Here is a 21076-nt window from a genome sequence, read left to right on the forward strand (position 1 = left end):
AGCTAGATCCCCCCTCAATTCCTGTGTGCTCCCCTGCGGAGAGAGAGAGAGAGAGAGTGTGAGAGAGAGAGAGAGAGAGTGTGTGTGTGTGTGTGTGTGTGTGTGTGTGTGAGTGACAGATTCTCTCTCTGTCACCCAGGCTGGAGTGCAGTGGTGCGGTCACAGCTCACTGCAGCCTCGAACTCCTGGGCTCAAGCGATCTTCCCACCTCAGCATCCTGAGTAGCGGGAATTATAGGTATGTGTCACCATACCTGGCTAATTTTTAAAAGTTTTTGTAGAGATGGGGTCTCGCCATGTTGCCTAGGCTCTCCCTTGCATTTAAAACGTGGTAATCAGGCCAGGCACAGTGGCTCACGCCTGTAATCTCAGCACTTTGGGAGGCCGAGACGGGTGGATCACCCGAGGTCAGGAGTTTGAGACCAGCCTGACCAACACAGTGAAACCCCGTCTCTACTAAAAATATAAAAATTAGTCGGGGATGGTGGTGCATGCCCATAATCCCACTACTTGGGAGGCTGAGGCAGGAGAATCGCTTGAACCCAGGAGGCAGAGTTTGCAGTGAGCCAAGACTGCACCATTGCACTCCAGCCTGGGCAATAGTGTGTGACTTTGTCTCAAATAAATACAGTAGAGTAGAGTAGAATAAAATAGTGGTAACTGGGGGCCCTGACCAGTCTCCCTTGGGAGACCCAATTCAACTTCCTGGTCATTTTGTTTGGCTGTGCCTGGAGCTCTTATCTGTCTTCTTGGGGGTTTGGCTGTGGGTCTGCCCGAGGTCCTGGGCTTCTGGCTGGGGTAGTGTTGCCTGTTGCCCTAAAGCTCTCCTCAGGTGGGGGATGGTGAGGGGCCTGTGATGATGCCTCTGCACCTGCCGTGGGAAGGCCACAGAGTCTAGGGGCCATCTGTGATGATGCCTCTGCACCTGCCGTGGGAAGGCCACAGAGTCTAGGGGCCATCTGTGATGATGCTCCTGCACCTGCCGTGGGAAGGCCACAGAGTCTAGGGCCCGTGCTGGTGGGACTTGCCTCTTGGGTTGATCCCAGGAAGCTTCAAGCAAACTCAAGATTCACAGGATTCAGACAACGGTAATTTCTGTGAGGGGAAAGGCATCTCATGTGAGGTTCTTGGGGCGCCTTCCTGGATTTCTAAGGGATGAGCTCCTGGATAGATCAAGAAGACCTAAAGGGCCGGGCACAGTAGCTCATGCCTGTAATCCCAGCACTTTGGGAGGCCGAGGCAGGCAGATCACTTGAGGCCTGGAGTTCCTGACCAGCCTGGGCAACATGGTGAAACCCCGTCTCTACTAAAAATACAGAAAAATTAGCTGGATGTGATGGTGCATGCCTGTGATCCCAGCTACTCTGGAGGCTGAGGCAGGAGGATCACTTGAGTTTGGGAGGTCGAGGCTGCAGTGAGTTGTGATTGCACCACTGCACTACAGCCTGGGCAATGGGAGTTAGACCTTGTCTTAAAAAAAAAAAAAGAGAGACCTGGGCAGCAGGACCTTGTCACCTCATTCCTCTGCAGATGGGGGTTGGGGGAGATTCTCAAGTGTTTCTCCTGTCTGAGGGTCTTCTCATTTGGAGATTTGAAGAAAGTGCTAATGAGAAAGGTTGCCTTGCATTTATGAAGCTTGGGGAAGTCATCCTAAGGGGGCCACAGCGTGCTTAATTTATTCCAATTCCGTAATATATAAATTATACGTACATGTCAGGGTTCTTCTAAAAACACTTCGCCATCTTTGGAAAAATGGAATGTTCAAAAAGATAAATATTTTCCCCCCTTCTTCTAATTGTATCCTATCGGGCCAATTTGGAGCTGGTCAGTGTGAACAGATCCTTTCTTCTCCCGCCTCTAGCCTCCCAGGCTCCCTGAAAGCCAAGTCCTTACCCCCACGCCACTCTCAGGGGTGTCTAGACAGCGCAGGATAAAGGGTTTTTTTTTTTTTTTTTTAATGCCTTCATCATGCAGCCAGTATTCCCTGAATGCCCGCTCTGTCCTGGCTGTCACAGTGCCTATGCTGAGAGAGCTATGCCCAGACAGGGCCGACCCAGGAGGCTGCGTCTGAGCCGAGTCCTGACCCATGACTGGGGTTTCTTTCTTCCCCCTGATGGGTCTCGGCGTGGCTGAGGTTTTGCTTTGCTGTCTGCATTTATGGAGATTTTTATAATGGAAAATTTCAAACACAGGGCAGAGTAGAGAGACTGGTGTCCTGAACCCCATACCCACACCACCCAGCACCAACAAATATTCGCTGGTCTCTTCACCATGCATGGGACATCTTCTTTTCTGGAAAGACCGATCGGGCTTAGAAATAGCATCAAAGTCCTGGAAAAGGATCAGACTTGAACCAACGCTTGAGCCAGAGCAGTCTCACTCTTATCTCTAGGCTTTTTTTTATGGGGCAGGGGAGCATTCTGTAGAAGATTTAACTCCCGCTGCTTCTGGCAAAGAGCAGGAATAGATAAGGGTCAGCACCCAGGATGTTTCTGCCGGGGGTTGCCGAGTGGTAGACGTGAAACGTGGCTTTATCTACCACGTTTTGTGTGTTTGGGATGGGACCTCTATTTTCTCCCTGAAAAGGTGGGTTTGGTGCATCCCTGGGGGGTATGAATTTTCTTGGTGGCACTGAGCCCTGTTTCATCCTCTGCCAGATGAAATAGCTATGCTCAGACAAAGCAGGGAAATGGGACTGGTTTTCTCTCCTTAAGCCAGTGGCTAAGTATTGAGATACAGGAGACCTCATGCAGATGACGTTTTTGTCTTGGTGTAACCGTTGGCCCTGCCTGTCTCTGTCACCCAGGCTGGAGTGCAGTGGCGTGATCATAGCTCACTGCACCTCAAACTCCTCAAGTGATCCTCCCTCCTCAGCCTCCTGAGTAGCTGGGACCACAGACACATGCCACCACGCTTGGCTAATTTTTATTTTATTTTAATTTTTTAATTTTTTAATTTTTTTCGAGGCAGAATCTCGCTCTGTCACCCAGGCTGCAGTGCTATGTTGCTCAGGTTGGTCTCGAACCCGTCCTGGGCTCAAGCAGTCTTCCCAACTTGGCCTCCCAAAGCTCTGGGATTACAGGCACGAGCCATTGTGTCCGGTCTGTCTGGTTTTTTATGAGACAAAGCAGGGAGTCCCTGACCTTCCTGAATATTGTAGGCAGTGAGCGCTAACACAGGGTTCTTTCGTAACAGCCCTGTGGAGGTATTATGCACACGCCACGCAGTTCGCCTATTGTAAATGTACACATTGATGATTATTAGTGCACACATGTGGTCAGGCAGCCGTGGACACCGTCCTAGAATTCATTTTTTCTCCCTACCTCAGCATGCTGTGCGGTGGGGACTGGGGGAGGGCCGCATTCTCCCAAGTTTCCTGAGTGCTGATGGTAACACAGTCAGGTGCCAGCACGGAGTTTTGTTGGACGAGCAGCTCATGAGCTGAATTTTGCAATGATTGGATGATTGTGCATGGACTCATCTCATCAAATTGGCGTGGTTTTGGTTTTCTTTGGGTTTTATTATTATTATTATTTGATTTTTTCAACCTGGTCAGTCTTATTGCAAGTGGCGCAGTTTTGGAAGGCGCCCAGGGAAGGCTACTTGGTTGGCATTTGGAACTGTGTGGAAGGAGTGGAGGTGAGGTGGCCAGAGGCAGTGCGTGCCGATTGTCCAAAGCCAGGCCCAAGAACATGTGTCCCCTGCAGACACACCTTTTCCTTCTGGCTTTAGAACAAGACCAGTTTGCTTGATGTTTACTGAGTGCTTGCTCTGTGCCTGGCACTGTTCTGGGCACTTTCCACACATTAACTTACTGACTGCTGCACAGAACCCTGTGGAATGGGGATTACCCATTTTACAGATAGGAAAACCAAAGTTTAAAAAAAGTCAAGTCCGGGCGCGGTGGCTCATGCCAGTAATCCCAGCACTTTGGGAGGCTGAGGCGGGTGGATCACCCAAGGTTTGGAGTTCGAGACCAGCCTGACCAACATGATGAAACCCTGTCTCTACTAAAAAAATACAAAAAAGTAGCCAGACGTGGTGCCGGGCACCTATAATCCCAGCTACTTGGGAGGCTGAGGCAGGAAAATCGCTTGGACCCGGGAGGCAGAGGCTGCAGTGAGCCAAGATTGCACCACTGCACTCCAGCCTGGGCAACAAGAGCGAAACACCGCTCTTCATTTTCTATAAAATGAAATAAAATAAAATAAAATAACTTGCCCAGGGCTGCACAGCCAAGAACTCAAGCTGGACGCAGACCCAGGCAGTCTGTGCTCCGAACTGCTGCCCACATGACCTCTGAGTGGGAACAGGCACCTGATCTGGGGTGGGAGGATTCTGGGATGTGAATTCTGGGAGGGGTGGGCCCGGGCTGCTGGGGGAGAAATTTCTGATGGAGAGAAGCCTTAGCCAGGCAAAGGAGAGGGCATGGGTGGGTGCTCCCGGGGAGGGGTCGAGTGAGCACAGGCAGGAAGGTAAGATTGAACATTCCCAGGAAGCTGCAGCAGGGGCCAAGGCCTGGCCAGTCCAGCCTGCCCGCTGTGCTTCAGTGGCTGGCCCTCAGCAGGTGCTCAGTGAAGGCTGAGTGAATGGAGGAGTGTTATCGGAGAGGCGAGATGGCTGGGGATCTCGAATCTCCTGCTTTTCCCTATAGGAGTGAACAAGACAACTGGCCAGGCGCTGTGGCTCACGCCTGTAATCCCAACATTTTGGGAGGCCTAGGCGGGCGGATCACTTGAGGTCAGGAGCTTGAGACCAGCCTGGCCAACATGGTGAAATCCCTTTTCCACTAAAAATACAAAAATTAGCCAGGTGTGGCGGCGGGCACTTGTTATCCCAGCTACCTGGGAGGCTGAGGCAGGAGAATTGCTTGAACCAAGGAGGCAGAGGTTGCAGTGAGCTGAGATCGCACTACTGCACTCCAGCCTGGGCAACAGATTGAGACTCTATCTCAAAAAAAAAAAACAAAAAACAAAAAAAACAGTGAACGGGACAGCTGGAAAATACCCCCAAATATCCACCTGACATTTTCAGTGTCTCTGCTGGGCCGGGAGTAGATCTGGCCATGCCCCACTGAATCCTTCCTCCCTCCCGCTCCTAAATATACAAGGCAGCTCTCTGGCTTGGAAAGCTAGAGGGCTCCCTGTTCTGCGAGCAGCTATCCTGGTACCTTCCTGATGGGAAGATGGGCACCTGGCTGCCCACTTGTGAGCATCTAGACCCCGACTGCCAACCCACCTTCTGCGGACCCAGAGGGCTGAGATCTACACAACAAGGCCGTTCATCACCAAATGGAGAGAGAGGCAGGTTAGCGAAAGGGAGAGCAAGACCCCAGATATTTGCCTCTGCTCTTCATCTGGTAAATCACACAAAGAATTGCAGAAAGTGGCAGCCTCATCCCTGAGTTTCCCTCAGCCAAACTGGGGCATAGGTCTTCTTACATCGTCTTGTTTTTCTCCGGGAAGAATCAGCCTTGAGTGTCAGACTTGAATTACCTTATTCCCAGGGGACACTTCCTGTGGCCATTTCTAGTGGCAAGTGGCTGAGGTTGTACCCCTAAATAAAAGTAGGGTTTTAAACTGGGTCACAAACTCACATGCCCCCCGGGGTCAGGAAGGAGGCACAAATGAGGGAGGCAGCCAGTGGGAGGCTCCAGGGCAGGGAGAGGACTGCGGCAAAGGAGAACAGCATGTCCTGCACACAGGAGTGGCCTCTCTTACCTGAGGGAGTGGAGTCCTTGGCACTGTAGTATTCCTTTTGAAGTCAAGAATCCAGACTTTTTAAGATGTTGGCAAATAATTCAGTGGGATTTTTGTTTGTTTATTTTTAAAGACACAGCATTGCACTGGTTTAAAATACAACATCTTGTGGGATGAATCTCCCCTCTCTGTAGAGGTGAGGAGGGCAAGGCTGAGAAGCTCAGCGGGGCTGGGACAAGAGCTGCACCTGCCGGCACCCAGCCTGGCCCTCTGCCTGCCTCCCCATGCCGCATCACGGACAAAGCAGTAGGGCTGGGAACCAGCTCAGCAGATTCCACTGCGACAAAAGACCCCGTACTGGCTCCAAGGGACACAGCCCCGTGCCAGTGTTGCCCACCCACGTTAGCTCTCCCACAGGAAGGCATCGCAGCAGCAGTCAGGACTTTGTGGCTGCCTTTTGGGTACCAGGCACAAAGCTTCTTGTGTCGTTGTCTCACGCAAGTCTTTACAATACAACACACACACCTTGTGGTTTCTGCTCTCCCCGTTTTACAGATGAGGAAACCAAGACCTGGAGAGGCTCGAGTCACATGACGGGGTGGGAGCTGAATGTGAATGTGACTCCTGAGCTGCAGCTTCTAACCATCGAGTGATGCACACTCTGAGGCCCACAGTGACATGTGCATGGCACCCTTGGCCTGATGCCAGTGACCTTGCCCTCCACCTGTGGGATGCAGCCTGGTTTCGACCCTCTACTAGGGCATCACGTGCAGCAAAGAACACTGAGTGGGGAGTTGGTGGGGGGCCTCAGGAGCACAGGCAGCCCCACCTACGGAGGGACCGCACTGCTCACAAGGTTGCTGACTAATTCTCTTTGCAAACGGTTCAGTTTCACATGCTTGAGTTTCCAGTAACTATGTGGGTGGATTTGTTTCATTTAAGGGGAAAACAAAACAAAACAAAACAAAACATGGAGTTTTCTTTCCCAAGAAGAGGGCTCGCCAGTTACGGGTTTCACGCGTGCGGCTCCGGGCATCCTGGTGCAGTTCTGCAGCCAGCGGGGCCTCTTGGCAGACGGGTTCAGAGGTGGAAATTGCTTAGTCATTTGCAAACTGGGACCAGGTGCCCAAGGTCAGGGAGGTGGTGGGTCCGCAGCGGCACAGTGGTCTCCGGGTCCTGCTGAGGGCACCACGGTGGTCCTGTGTTCTTCCTGACTCAGCCTTGCCCTGGGCTGGCAGGGGGTGGGGACCTGGGTGAAGAGGAAGGTGCCAGGTCAGACAGCCGGCCTCCCTGACCCTGGGGCTCCGGCACCCCCAGGAGACCTGGCCTGGGAAGGAGACCCTCCCTGTGGGTGAGTCACCTGCTTTGGGTGAGTTGGAGATGGGGGCGTCCCTTGGCATGCTAGACTGTGCTAGGGCAGAGGTGAGAGACAGCCCCTGGGGCACAAGGGAGGGGCATGTGTGCACGTGTATTTATGTGTGTGCATATGTGCTTGTGTGTGTGTCCCCACACGGGCTCAACCAGGTGATACTGGTACTCAGCAAGCAGAGCAGACTTTGATGGGCACGTAGGGCAGGGTCCTAGGGGGCTGCTGCTGGGCCAGGCATCACGCCTTGAGGTGCTGGATGGCGAGGAGGGGGGGGCTGATCGAAGCGGGTTCAGGGGCTGCCATTTACGAAAGGCTGGGAGCGTTTTGCTACCTTAGAGCCCACCCGTTCCCGCCATCTTGGGGCACAGGCGCAGGTGGTCAGCCGTGACTCCCGGATTCCTGTGGCGCGGCACGGGCCTTCGTCAGGACCACGGCTGCTTCTCCAGGGGAGACCGCCCCGGAAGCGGCATTGGGTCTGGGTCTGGGGGCCGCAGCAGCTTCGAGCCCAGCTTGGGAGGTGGCTGGCTTTCCACCTCGGTTCTCCCTGCTCCTATGACCTGGCCGGACCTTGTGACCTCTCTGAGCCTCAGTTTCCATCTGTGAAATGCGGGTATAAGAGTGCCCCCGGGTAGAGGGAGCTGCCTGGTGCTCTCCTTCTGATCGCAGAGATCCCAGGCCCCGTAGCAGGGCCAGGCCTCACCTTGGATGCACCTTCCTGCTTCCAAGTGGAAACACACGGTGGAATTTAGAATCCTTAACCTGGCCTGTGAGGGTTTGCTTCCGGTGCTCTCGCGAAGGAAAGAGAGAACTCACAAATAATATATTATACTAGGCAGAGGGTGAGAAAGGTGCTTAGAGGCCAGCAAGGTTCTGGCCTTGGGGATCAGGGTTTACTCTCAGCAGGTGAATCTGGGAAGGCTTCCTGGAGGAGGTGATGCTGAAACTGGGCCTTGGGATGTGTAAGCACTGGAGAGGGAGGAGGAAGGGAAGAAGGGAATAAATGTCACTGGCGGAAGGTGGCATGTGTGTGCAAAACCACTGGGAGCTTTGATGATACCCGGTATATAGTAAGTGCTTGATAAAAGTCATCACCGAAATCAATCTGACTCCAGGATTTGGTTTAGGTATCTGGGAGAAGGGGTGTGGGGGCGTGTGGTAGAGATTTTCAGACCACCAGGTGAGAACAGACAGGTTTTTTGTCGTTTGTTTTTGAGACAGAGTCTTGCTTTGTCACCCAGGCTGGGGACAAAGCTCACTGCGGCTTCTGCCTCCCAGGCTCGGGGATCCTCACACCTCAGCCTCTTGAGTAGCTGGGACCTCAGGTATGCACTACCACGCCCAGATATATATATATTTTTGTATTTTGTATTTTTTGTAGAGTTGGGGTTTCACCCTATTGCCAGGCTGGTCTCAAACTCCTGAGCTGAAGCAGTCCACCCTCCTTGGCCTCCCAGAGTGTTGGGATTACAGGCGTGAGTCACCGTGCCTGGCCAGAAAAGACAGTTTCAGAGCCTTATGTAGGTGATTTCCGGTGGCGAGGGAACCAATTTTTTTTTTTTTTTTTTTGAGACCCTGCAGATTGGCGGGTCGCTTTGGTGGGAGTTTCTTGCTTCCTTGGCACACCATTCGCTCCGCGAGTTTGTTAAGGGCCCCTGTGTGCCAGGCTCGGCCCGAGCATCTGTGGAACCAGAGGAAGCTGGGTGGACAGTCGCAGGTTTGGTGACGTGCCAGGTGGGGAGAGGAAGCAGCTGCACTCATTCCCCTTTCCGGGCAGGTTGGGGAAACGCAGCGATTGTTCTGGGAAGCTGCAGCTTAGGGAGAGATGACGTTCCCTGTGGCCCAGTGAGGGTGGGGCCCTGGGGTCTGGGCTGACAGCAGGCAGTGGGGGAAGGTGGGTGTGGGCACCCGGAGGCCCATGATGCCCCCAGATCCTCCACCACGAATGCAGCCGGCAGCAGAACAGTGACGGGTCCTCCGCCCGCTTGGGTCTCTGCCCACCCACGCCTCCCTTGCTGGTTGTTCTCTCCGGCCTCTGCCTCCTTGCTTTCTTGGCTGACAGTGTAGGACCCTGCCTGAGGCACAGCATTTCCAGGCTGCCTTGCGGACAGACAGGGAATGGGGACAGCGTCCTCTCCTATCGCCCACGAAGCCCCCCTGCCATGTTCCTCTTTGTCCTCAAGACCACCCTCCTTCCTCCACTCCCAGGTTTCCAGCATCCAAGGAAGACCCTGAGTTTGGAATCTGGCTTCCAACCTGGATCCTGGACAAGTTACTCAGCCTCTTTGAGCCTTGGTTTCCACATCTGTAAGAATGGGTGTGAGACTTACCTTGCGGAATCGTGCAGGATTGACCAAAGCCAGACCGTGTGGCTGGTGCCTCGGAGGCAGCTGTTTCCACCATTCAGAGGGTTGTTCTTCTGTCCATTCAGCAATTCGGGCAGCTCACTCAGATCAGGGCCTCTGTCAGGCTCTGGATGTACAGCAGGACAGGGTCCCTGTCTCCAAGGACTCACTGCATATAGTGGGGGACAGTCACATGAGCTGGTGATTGTAACACAGGGTGACAAAAGAGGAGTCCAGCCTGCGGTGTCCTGCAGTGAGTCCTAAAGACGTGGTAGGGCCGGGCGCAGTGGCTCACACCTGTAATCCCAGTACTTTGGGAGGCTGAGGCGGGCACATCACCTGAGGTCATGCCTGGGCAACATGGCGAAACCTGTCTCTACTAAAAATACAAAAAAATTAGCCGGGCATGGTGGCGCACCCCTGTAATCCCAGCTGCTCCAGAGGCTGAGGTGGGAGAATTGCTTGAACCTGGGAGGAGGCAGAGGTTGCAGTGAGCCAAGATCACACCACTGCACTCTAGCCTGGGCAACAGAGTGAGACTCCATCTCAAAAAAAACAAAACAACAGTAACAACAACAAAAGAGGAGGTAGGACCTGGGAAGTGGGGGGACCAGGGGGGTGGCACAGGGAGGGCACCAAGGCAGGCAGCACTGTGGGCTGCGGGTCAGCATGTGGACATGTGTGCGCTGCCCTGGCCGTGGCATGTTGCTCACCAAGGCGGGGAACACACCCAGCCCCCACAGGTCAGGTGCTTTGCTTCTCCTCCCTCCTCCCTCCTCCTTCCTCCCTCCTCTTCCTCCTTCTCCTCCCTCTAGGATCTCAAAGTACAGGGGTGGGATGAGAGGCTCCGAGGCCCTGCTGTCCCCATGCCTTCCTTGTGGGACTCCTGGGCCACTGTGCTCCCCGCTGAAGTCGAGTGGAGGAGGTGGGGAGCGCTTGGGTCAGGCCCTCTGGCCTGCGCATGCTGTGTCTCACGGTGGCTGATGTTCCGTACCGGGCTGGTATTCCGTTCCGGCTGGTGCAGAGGATGCTGCGGGAGGCCAAGCCTGCTCGTCTGGCCCGGCCAGATCTGCAGTGCAGAGCAGCCCCCAAAGGTCCGCTGTAGTGAAGGGAGGGTACTACAGGGAAGTCGGCCTGGGGTGGCGGGGTGACTGGTTCCATGAGCCTTTGAGTGAGCCCTCACATCCACACCCGCTGTTTCTGTGGCCACTGGAGCTGCTGGCCCAGCCAGTCGCCACCTGGCTGCAGGTGGGAAGCAGCCTCCCCGCCTATCTAGCCCCAGACCTCCTGGGAGGACCATAGCCGGCCCCTGAGCTGGCCACCTGCAGGCCTGGTCCCTGGGGTCAGAGGCAGGACCCTCGACTTCTCAGGGGTGGAGGGGAGTCTGTGCTTCGAGCCCCCTGGGCCAGGTGACTCTTGCTGTGTGTGCAGCTAGACTCACCTGCTCAGGGCAGGCCGCCAGGGACCCCAGGTGTCCAGGCGTCTGCTTCTCACCGGCCCCACCCCCCACTATAGTTTCTCTTTGCCTTCCTCCTAAATTTGCATGGCAGAAACTTCCTTCTACAGATATTTGCGGAGCACCCACTGTGTGCCAAGCATTGTTCTAGGCAGGGGGTTGCAGCTCGACCAAGACAGACTGCAGGGCGGTCATCAGCCATTATTGCCTCTTGGGCCGGGACTGTCCTCTGTGTCTGTGTCGCCTCCTCCATCCCAGCCAGATGGCTGAAAGCTCCCGGGGACTTTGCCTCCTTTCACCTTTCCTCCCCCTGCCCTGCCCCACGTGTGTGCAGATATGGGGTGGCCCCATCTCCGCCATTTGATTGGGAGGCCTCTCGAGGGCTGGGAGAAGCCGTTTCCCTTGGCGTTCCATAGCACGCTGCTACTGAGATGTTTTGTGTATAGTGGCCTCGCTCCGTGCATCTAAGTTGTTCCTTGATACACAGAGGAAGCACGCAGCCCTCTCTTCCATTTTGCAAGTATTTGGAGCAATGGAGCAGGAGAAACTGACTTGCCCCAAATCTCTGATCATTTTCTAGACATTGCCCTACCCTGGTGACTTAGGGTCGTGACTGCACCCCGGGCTCGCCTCTCTCGGCTCTGGCTGGCCACGACCTTCCTTTTGAAGGTGCCTGGAGGGTGACTCCGTGTTTCTTGTTTCCTCGTGGGGGATTTTAAATTTATGTCACTGGTGGTTTGGAAGCTACAACGTCCTGCGCCGGGTTTAGCAGGATGGAGTTAGAGTGAGCTCTGGCCACGAAAGGCTGGCCTGATGGGGAGGGGCCAAACCCCTCCCCCTGCCAGGCTCCAGTGGAAGGTCCCCCTCCCCTGCTTAAAATCTCCTTCCCGAGTCCCTGGCTGCCACTCTCCAGGCCAAGGCAGTGGGAGTTGCTGTGCGGGGGATTCTGGCTGGAAAAGGCAGCCGTGTAATTACAGGTACTGGAAATAGTCCTGTTTCCCTTTCAGCCTTTTCCTTCTACCCCTCCCCCGAAAAGAAAACAACAACCAAAAAATCCCCCCAAAACACAAAGCTGGAAAAAGCTCTTAAACCTTCTTAGTTTAGTCTGCAGAGGCGTCTCAGGCGGTGGGCCTTAAACATTTACATTCTTGGGGCTTAGCTGACTCCTTCGAGCGTCGAGTTTCTGGGTTGATGGCACATCCAGGGTGAAGGAAGAACTCCTTACAGAGAAAGCCCGTGTGTGTGGTGGAGCTCTAGACAGCCCGATGGCAGGGGGTGGGCTCCGAGCTCCAGGGCCCATTCTTGGGAGAGAGCGGATCCTGTGTGATTTTACGGAACTTGTCCTGACCCGTTATTCGTCACCTTGGTGCCCGATAGAGAAGTGTCTCAGCAGTTCTGTTCTCCAGACCTTTACCGAACACTTACTGCGTGCCAAGGATTCAGCTCAGAACGGGGAAGAGGGTGTTTGAGAGACTGATGAGTCAGTGAGGGAGACCGATGCATAGGCAGCTCGCTAATGCTGTGTTTCATCACATCTGAGACCCGTCGACCGTGAGCTTCACCTTTAAATAAAAAAAAAAATGCTGCTGATTGTCACTGTAATGTGCCCTTGACTCCAGGACCAGCCTGATGGCAGAGATCTTAAGATGTGAATCACATGACTCTGAGTCGGTGGAGGAGGAGGACTCTGAGAGGCTGGGAGACTGGCCAGGGGCACCGCAGAGACCACGGGAGAGGCTCTTCAGTGGCAGAAGTATCTTGGGTGGTGTTTTATGGGCAGAGTGGGGTGGGGAATATGACAGCAGCAAGATTAATACCCGTAGGTGCCATTGACGAGTGATCCTGCTCTGGGCTCTCCAGTCACCTCTAACCCTGTGGGGGACAACCACAATGTCTGTTTTATAGATGGGCCCAACCATCCCCAGGTGATGTGTACCTGGGAATCACACTGGGCAGGTGATGTAAATATGTGCACTCCCCGAGCACCCATCCTGCAAGGGGCTTGAATGGCTCTTTATTAACGACCCACATTCCCAGGACTTAGCTCCTGGTGGTCGAGGCTGGCTCCGTCTTTGCCTTGGACTCACCTCTGTGGCTTCTCTTTAATCAGCACTTAAAAATGCATCAGGCTGAGTAGAGTACCAGCATCGTCTCCTCTAATCCCCACATCATCCCAGTGAGACAGGGCTATTAGCCTCGGTTTGCAGGTGGGGAAACTGAGGTTCGGAAAGTCTCTCAGGTTATAGCCGGTAAGGGCAGAGCTGGGATTAGAACGCAGGGTTGTCAGCTCCAAAGTCCGTGCCTCGCTCTCATTTTTGCACGTTTTCAGCAGATTCTCTTTTGTTATTCCTGTCCCAAAAGGCGCCTGCTCACCTGCACGATCTGTCACCTACTGGGCCCTTGGCCAGAGGCATTTAAAGCCCTAATCTGATGGTTAATTGAGGAGGGATGGCAATCATGATGAGGGCTCAGGGTTCGTAGCTGATGAGTTTTCTTTCAAGCCCCTGAGAAGTGGCATCGTTGCGGACAGAGGTGGGAGGTGGTGTGGGGAGAATCTTGGGCCAGATTCTGGGGAGGCCAGGACCACCTGCAGGTTCCACTGTGGCTGGAATATTCTGGAGGCTGAGGAGAGCCAGCACACAAGGTGGCAGGTGTCGGAGAGGGATGTTGACTTGGAGCTTGGGTCTTGTTCTGGCCGGTCTGATGGTCAGCGGGGGCAGGCAGCCCTGACGTGTAGGGAAGCGCTGCGTTAGGTCACCAGGCACCTCCAGCCCGCACCCACCCCACCCGCCCGGACGCTCTTCTCAGCCCCTTTTTTTGTTGTCTGGCTGCGTCAGACGTCTGGGCTTGCAAGGAGGTTCCTGAATGGGCCTTGGAAATAGGTCACTCCCTTCCCGTGCCGCCAGCACTGACCCAGATGTGACCTTCCCCACGGTGACAGTGTCTGGCTGTCACTCTTTGATGCTGGTGGTGGACGGGCCAGGCGGCCGCCCCTCCCCAGCTCCGGCCTTCGAGGACTTTGCGGCCTCTGCAGCCACCTGCCGGACATTCCTTCCTGCTGCCATGTTGGAGGGGGGTATCCATGGGGCCTCTGTCCCGGCACTCAGCCTTTTCGCTCTCACGAAGTGCCCTGGCTGGGCTGGCGGCTTTGAGCGTCTGGATGAAACATTCTAGTTCCCGCCGAGCCGAGGGGGGCTGTGGCTCCACTGGGCCCCTCTCTGGCCCCAGCCCCTTGGCGGGGCGCTCAGCAGTGGATGTGCCCTCCATGGAGTCACTGGGGACTTTCCATGTCTCCCCCTGGCTGGCTGTGGAGCCTCCCTCGCGGCCCGTTGGCAGAGATCTCAGGGGATGTCAGAGGGTGCTCAGCCTGGCACTGGGTACCAAGGCTGACCTTGAAGGTCAGAAGTCAGTGGTGGACTGTGCTGCCCTCATGGGGGTCTGGAGCCCTGTCCACAAGCAGGGGCTTCATTGGAGCTCAATGTTTAGCCTTCGTGGAATCCAGATGTAAACAAAGCGGAGAAGGGAGAATGGCAGACGCGCCTCCCTGCATGGAGATGGTCTTGCACACATGGCTGCCCGCGCGTCTCCAGGCACCGAGAGCCCATGTTGGGCAGATTCTGGGGATTCAGCCTTTGGAGGTCCTCAAGGTGGCTGGTCCTACAGGCCTCAGTGAGACAGTGCTATGTCATTTTGCTGCTAGTTTCCAGGGTCATGAGGAATACATTTCTTCTGCTGTTGCCCACGGACGGCAGGGGCTGTGCCATGTGGGACCTTGGAACCCGAGCCTTCTCCCATCCCTTCCTCTTATATCTGCCCTCTCTGTGGCCCATGGGAAATTCAGGGGGTCTTTTCCTGCAGGAAGGAGAGCCAGGGTGCAGACCCGGAGGAGGTGGGCCACTTGCAAGTGACTACCCACAGCTGTCCTTGATGGCCCAAACTCGGGCCGCAGAACCCCTCCTCAGGCCAGCCTGGTTGCTCTGAGCCTGGTTGCTCTGTCATGGCCCCACCTTTTTTCCTAGGTTTTTCAGTCCATATCTTTTTTTGTGTGCCAAAGTGGGGAACCATATTTCTGGTAGATAATCACTGGTTTTTCTCATCCGGCAAGTGGACACCTCTGACGCAGCTGGAATGGGCCTAGGTGGGAGGGACTTTGTCTTTACTACCACGTGGAGCCGGCACATAGTGGGACTCACAGCTCTTCATGGCATCGATGAATCGTGTCCCGATTAGCTGTTGGTGGTGTGCCATCTGCGGCTCTGCTCTGGTGAGTTCTGCTGCGATCCTGTGGCTCAGCACGTGGTAGGTCCTCAGTGAGGCTGTGATGAGCGTGGGGGCGTCTGGTGCCTGGGTGCACATCCCTGGCTGTCCTCCATGGTGTCTCTCTGTGCCCAGCCTCTGGAGGGTCGGCTCGGAGGGCTGTGGGCCCGGGACTCGGTGTGTCCGATGAGGAAACCAGCTTGGGTGGGGAGGGGGAGTCAAGACAAAAGCCTGGTTGTGCCCTGGGAGAAAACCCAAACCTGGGTTTCCCTGAGGCTGAAACTGCCAGTGGCCAGCCTGTCTTGTTCCTATAAAGGGCACTTTGTGTGTGGCTCCTGGCAGGAGGCAGCGGCCAGCCAGCATCTCCCGGAGCCCAGAATCTCTCTGGGAATGAGCACAGCCACCTCCGAGCCACAGCTCACTCTGACAAAAACGCTTGTGGCCCTGGACTTCTTAGAGCCAACACTGGGCCAGACAGTCGTGTTTGCGACAAGTCTGTTCGCCTGGCCGTGGAGCCAGCACGGTCTTGTCGGATCCAGACCAGACAAATGCTTTCTTGGAAAAGCGAGTGGGGTGGGGGAGCAGGGACACCCGGCCTGGCGGGCTGGTGGATCGGAGGCGCCTGTGAGCGGGTCAGTACTGGGTAGGCAGCCCCATTGGGAGCCACAGCCACTCACTGGCTGCTGCCTCCTGAATGGGCAGCCGGTGTGGATGCAGTGGCTGCACTCGCTGGAAGCTGGGACTCCAGAGCTCAGCACGTGGAGTTGGATGAAGCTTCCTGTGCTCTCACTGTAGACTGGGCTTCCCCCAGCCGGGGCGCTGGGCATCCAAGAAGACCTGTACTCCGCCCTCCGGCCTGAGCCAATGCCTCCCACCACCACCCCCCCCCCCCGCCCCGCCTCCACCGGTGCAGATGGAGAGCTGTCCCCACTCCTTGGGTCCTCACCAGCCCTGCACACTAGGGACAGTCTGGGCTGTGTGGGATTGAGCTCTTGCCACCTTTGGGGAGTGAGTTCTCAATGAATGAGGGGCCTGGAAGGCAGACCTGGGGCAGGAGAGCTTTGGATCCAGTGGGGAAGGTTCCATAGCAGGTCTGGGACAGAGAGATGGATGCCTGCCCACCTCTTCAGGAAGGTGGTGTGGGCGACCCTAGGCCCTGCTTCTATGGGAGCGGCATTTCTGCAGAGCATGGTGGTGTGAGCAGGTGGCACCGTGGAACAGACAGTCACTCAGCAGGCATGTATTGAGCACTTACTCTGTGCCAGGCACTGTGCCAGCCCCTGAGGCACAGTGTGAACAAGACTGAGTTCCAGCCCCTGTGTTCTCACAGGGGACGGGTCTTAAGCAGATAACCAAGTGAACGTCATTGTGAAGTTCCATGGGGAAGCTCAGAGCATGGCACGGGGGCAAAGGACGTTTGCCATTTGGGCAGGATGGCTGAGAAAGGCCTCAGTGACGTGGTGACCTCAGAGCAGAGCACTGAGGGAAGTCGGGGAACAGCCACCTGGGGCCTCAGGCCCGGTGTGCCCAGAGCCAGGCAGAGGACTTGGGAAGTACAGAGATCCTGAGGCAGGAGCTTGGCAGGTACCAGGAACAGCCAGAAGACCAGTGGGGCAGGCAGGAGAGAATGGGGGAAGGAGGTGACAGAGTGTCCTGGGTCCTGGCCAGGAGGAGTGTGGGCTCCATGAGGTCAGAGTGACCTGTCCCACTCCACCCCTGCATGTCCCTTAGTTCATCTGTCCCCAGGAGGGTGGCTGGGCTGCCGACACGTGGGGAGGTCGGGTGGAATGTTCTTGGTGGGGCTGAATTTAGTCTTCCCTGCCTTTCATTGGTTGAGGTTTTGGTGCTCATGAGAAGACTTCTTCAATAACAAAGAACCAGCCCCTGGGACCCTTTCCAATCTGCGTTTATTCCCAGCACCACCCCAAGGGCTGGGCAGGTTGCTTTTCTGATCCTCAGTCTCCCTGCGCACTGGAGGTGGAGACACCCAGGGGCCACTCAGACTGGGCCCCGTGGAAGCTCTTGGAGTCTCTGAAGGGGCCACAGAAAAGTCAGTGGGTGGTGTCGGAGGAGTCACCTCACACTGCCTGGGCACAGTGGCCAAAGGCATGACCAGAGGGAACAGGGAGGCAGGAGGTTCACCTCGAGACCACCAGAGTCACTGTCTGCATGTGGCTGAATGTTCTCCCTGGTGGACTGGTGGGGGAGGGCTTGGTTTGCTCTGAGTGGGACATGGGGTGTGAGTCTGAGAGCCCCAAGAAGCTGGGGGACCAGAGGCCTTGCTGAGGCTCCTGTGCCCCGTCCCAGAAAGAAGCCACTGAGGCTAAGCCACCCTTGGTCAGCTGCTTCCAGAGAAAAACAGCAGCCTGATCATCAGCCGTCTTCCCTCCCACTGGCGGAGCAGAAATGGTAAGCCCGCTGCTTCTGAGGGGCCTTCCTCATTCCTGCAGTTTAGTCTGTGTTGGTTTAATCGGAAAGGCTTATTGCCTCTGAGTCAAAACACAAAAATCCCCGTGGATGCAGCAGGGTGTTTGCTGCCAAGGGAGCAGCTGGCGCCTTTTTTAGGTGGAGGCGGGGACCCTAACCCCTTCTTTCCTGCTTGCTGCCCTTTTCCAGACTTCCAGATTGGAGAGGCACCTGGATCCCGAGAACCCCAGCCTCCTTGCACCTGGGGGTCTTGGCTTAGGGGCAGGTGCTCAGGGCAGGGCACTGGGATGGTTCCTCATTCTTAGATGCATCTGCCGTCGTTTCGTGGGGAAGAGACTAGCACAACCCCCAGTGCCCACTTGCAGCGCTTCCGGGGGTCCCAGGATGGCCCTCTAAGCCCACGGCCTCCACAGTGGCCACTCATACGATGATCCCCCTGAGTATGGGCAGAAATTGGTAGCTATTTTTATCTCATCCAGTTTCATTTCTATTTTTGGGATGTGTGTTTCATAATGTATGTAATCTATCGATACAGAAGCATGTGAGTAGCACGTATGCATGGATATGTATGTCTTTGGCAGATACATGCTTAAAAGTCGATCGCCAGGCAAGCGCATAACTAAAACAGGATAGTAGCTGCTGGAAATGAGGTTCTGGGGTGTAAAGGGAAGGGGGTGTCATCGGGGGTCCAGGAAAGGCTGTGCCATGGGGAATGCACCTTACGAGGCAGAGCAGGCAGACTGGGAGTGTAGGGTTGGGCACGAGCTGGGCAGACAGCAGGATCTGAGCACTTGTCTGTGCTTGGGGAGCAGCTGGCCACTCCAGTGCACCAGGATGCAAGCACCTGAGCCAGTAGGACAGAGTCTTGGGGGAGTGTGGGGGAGAAATTTGACCCCTGTTTCTTCACCATTTCCTAAGGTCTCAACCAAGGGTCAGCAAACTTTAAGAGCCTGATGGTAATGATTTAGGCTTTGTAGACCATATGGTGTCTGCCGCAACTACTCGACTCTGTAGCGTGAAAGCAGCCACAGACAACATGTAAACTGGTGAGCCTGGCTGTGTGCCAATCAAGCTTCACTTCCAGAAGTAGATAGTGGGCCATATTTGGCCCCTGGGCATAGTTTGCCCAACTCTGGTCTAGATTTAAGAGGACGGGCCCTAACGGGGCCCAGGACCAGCCTCAGTTTCTCACCAAAGTGCAAGCCGCTGACCTTGGATGGTGAATGGAGTGCTGCAATCACACTTACGCTTTGGGAGGATTTCGAGGGCCATGGTGTGGACTTTTCAGAGAGTTCGCTTAGCTGGAGCAGGTGATGAACAGCCCCTTACCTCACACAGTAAACATCTCAGCTCTGCCACACACCTTTACACCCCCTCCTATAGAGCCAGACGAACGTGGCTGTGTGGAGGATTCAGTACAGGGGCTGAGGGAGGAGGCAGGGCCTGGCCCATCAATGGAATCTTGAAACAGCTGAGCCCAAAGACATTCGGAGGTCCTCCAAACTGTCATCCCTCATGATGTTGTGCAAAGATGCACTCCAGGAAGAATGTCCCTTTTCTTCAAGTTTGGGAACTGCTAGAGTTCAGCAGAACCTTGCGTTTCTGTCCTGCGGGACTTCTCAGAGCCTTTAAGATGCTGATGCGTTTGTGACTCTCTAGGAGGGGATATGATGTTTCCTAACCCAGCTCAGACATGATTTCAAATGCCTTAAGAATCCGTCAAGGCCACTTCGGGGGAAGAGCTGATTTCTTTCAATGCTTCGTTTTATAAACAGGGACTCTAAGGCCCAGAGAGGTAAACATCTCGTTCGGGGTAACCCAGAGGCTGATGAGTGTGTTGGGGTGAGCACCAACGCCCCACCCACTGCCTCCCTCTGGCCTGGGAGAGCCATGGAGTTGACACAGGGTCACAGGTGTTGGGTCCTAGGTGGTGCTTCTGGGCACGTGAAGATGGTTTTGTCCCAGGAATACCCTGCGTCTTTTCACCTGAAGCTCACTCTGCGCTGGGGCTTCCCAACATGGCACTGTTGACATAGGGCAGGGGAATTGTTGATGTGAGGCTTGTGTCGGGCGTGGCTGGGCGTTTAGCAATATCCCTGGCCCCCACCCACCAGACGCCACCCCAACTTGTGAGCCCCACATGTGTCTCCAGACATTGCCAAATCTCCCAGGGTACGCTGGGGTGAAGGAGGGAGGGTAGTAAAATCACCCAGGTTGAAAACCACTGCTCTGTCCTACTAGGGGCGGGCCCTGCATTTGCTGGAATTTGCCAGTAAAGGGCAGAAAGACTTGCTGGAGCTCTGGCAGATGTGTAGGAGTTCGCGTGGGGGACAGGGTGGCGGGGACAGCCTCCCAAGGGGGAGAATTGAAGACACCTAAGGGCAGTTGTATGAAGCAGTGTGAGGGGCACTGCAGGTGGTTCAGTCTGCATGGGGCCCGAGCACAGCCGGTTGAGGGTTTGTGGGTGGGGGGAAATGCAGCTGGAGAGGGAGGAAAGGTGAGATCCCGGATGGGTGGATGGGTGGACAGGTGGACAGGCGGATGGGTGGACGTGTGTGAGTGTCTCAGTCCAGGAACTTCATGCCAAGGGCTGGAGGGCAGTGATGGAGAGGTCAGGGGAGGTGACACCCGGTGGTGGGTAGGTCAGGTGAGAGGATCCGAGGAAGGGAGTAGGGAAGAGAGCCTTTGGGAAGATGGGCATGGCCACCCATCAGAAGTTAGTGCTGGACAGCCTGGCCAACACAATGAAACCCCGTCTCTACAAAAAATGCAAAAATTAGGCACAGTGGCATGCGCCTGTAGTCCCAGCTACTCAGGAGGCTGAGGCAGGAGAATCCCTTGAACCAGGATGGGGAGGTTGCAGTGAGCCGAGATCACACCACTGCACTCCAGCCTGGGTGACAGAGTGAGACCTCATTTCAAAAACAACAACAAAAAAAAAAAAAAAAAAGAGAAAAGAAAGAAAGAAGTTAGTGCTGGAGTCCAGGAGACTTCCCAGATCTCGGCATCGGACACATGGCGGTGGGGCCGTGGGGATGGTAGGCTTGGGTGTGGAGGTAGAAGAGAGCGTTCTGTGGGTAACGTGACTCTGCAGACATTTCTTCTCAAAACTTGGATACTATGAGGCCTTTGGAATCTTTTCTGGGACTGATTCCTAGAGTCCAGGGAGAAAATTGCTGTGGATGACAGGACAGCGGGTTCAGAGTGGCCCAGGAGCAGGTGACTGCACATTTTTGCAAAGAGCAAAAGGGAAACCTGACCATCTGCATGGGTCTCTTACCTCCATTCTGAGGACACAAGGCATCTCTTCTCACTGTAGTTTGTCAAAGATCAGTGGCGTAAATAATTGCTAGGTGCTTGCTCATCGAGAAGAATCTGAATGACACCTGATATGTACACATAAAGATGTACCAGGCTGGGCACGGTGGCTCACGCCTGTAATCCCAGCACTTTGGGAGACTGAGGCGGGCGGATCACCTGAGGTCAGGAGTTTGAGACCAGCCTGGGCAACACGGTGAAACCCCGTC

The 21076-nt window shown here is 55.2% G+C and overlaps 1 protein-coding gene across 1 annotated transcript in view, besides 5 other annotated features; it reads left to right on the top strand.

Moving 5' to 3' along the window:
- Positions 1–21076, top strand: part of SPSB1 (splA/ryanodine receptor domain and SOCS box containing 1) — a 76639-nt gene that overhangs the window by 16330 nt on the left and 39233 nt on the right. The gene's annotated exons all lie outside the window — the stretch shown is intronic.
- Positions 7585–7758: a silencer, noted in NCBI's record as "fragment chr1:9376867-9377040 (GRCh37/hg19 assembly coordinates)". NCBI's record gives its function as "represses an EF-1alpha promoter that drives an FKBP-Casp9 reporter gene in an ReSE screen in HepG2 liver carcinoma cells {active_cell/tissue: HepG2}" and the evidence as "EXISTENCE:reporter gene assay evidence [ECO:0000049][PMID:32094911]".
- Positions 8363–9562: an enhancer, noted in NCBI's record as "CDK7 strongly-dependent group 2 enhancer chr1:9377645-9378844 (GRCh37/hg19 assembly coordinates)". NCBI's record gives its function as "activates an origin of replication core promoter dependent on BRD2, BRD4, P300/CBP, MED14 and CDK7 cofactors, with strong dependence on CDK7, by STARR-seq in HCT116 cells {active_cell/tissue: HCT116}" and the evidence as "EXISTENCE:reporter gene assay evidence [ECO:0000049][PMID:35650434]".
- Positions 8376–8920: an enhancer, noted in NCBI's record as "H3K4me1 hESC enhancer chr1:9377658-9378202 (GRCh37/hg19 assembly coordinates)". NCBI's record gives its function as "activates a minimal SCP1, AML or CMV promoter by ChIP-STARR-seq in primed H9 embryonic stem cells {active_cell/tissue: H9 hESC(primed)}" and the evidence as "EXISTENCE:reporter gene assay evidence [ECO:0000049][PMID:30033119]".
- Positions 8921–9465: an enhancer, noted in NCBI's record as "H3K4me1 hESC enhancer chr1:9378203-9378747 (GRCh37/hg19 assembly coordinates)". NCBI's record gives its function as "activates a minimal SCP1, AML or CMV promoter by ChIP-STARR-seq in primed H9 embryonic stem cells {active_cell/tissue: H9 hESC(primed)}" and the evidence as "EXISTENCE:reporter gene assay evidence [ECO:0000049][PMID:30033119]".
- Positions 13687–13981: a silencer, noted in NCBI's record as "tiled region #3390; HepG2 Repressive DNase matched - State 9:DNaseU, and K562 Repressive non-DNase unmatched - State 20:ReprD". NCBI's record gives its function as "represses a minimal TATA promoter and a strong SV40 promoter by Sharpr-MPRA in HepG2 and K562 cells {active_cell/tissue: HepG2 | K562}" and the evidence as "EXISTENCE:reporter gene assay evidence [ECO:0000049][PMID:27701403]".

The sequence above is a fragment of the Homo sapiens genome, chromosome 1, assembly GCF_000001405.40.
Source record: "Homo sapiens chromosome 1, GRCh38.p14 Primary Assembly".
NCBI lineage: Eukaryota > Metazoa > Chordata > Mammalia > Primates > Hominidae > Homo > Homo sapiens.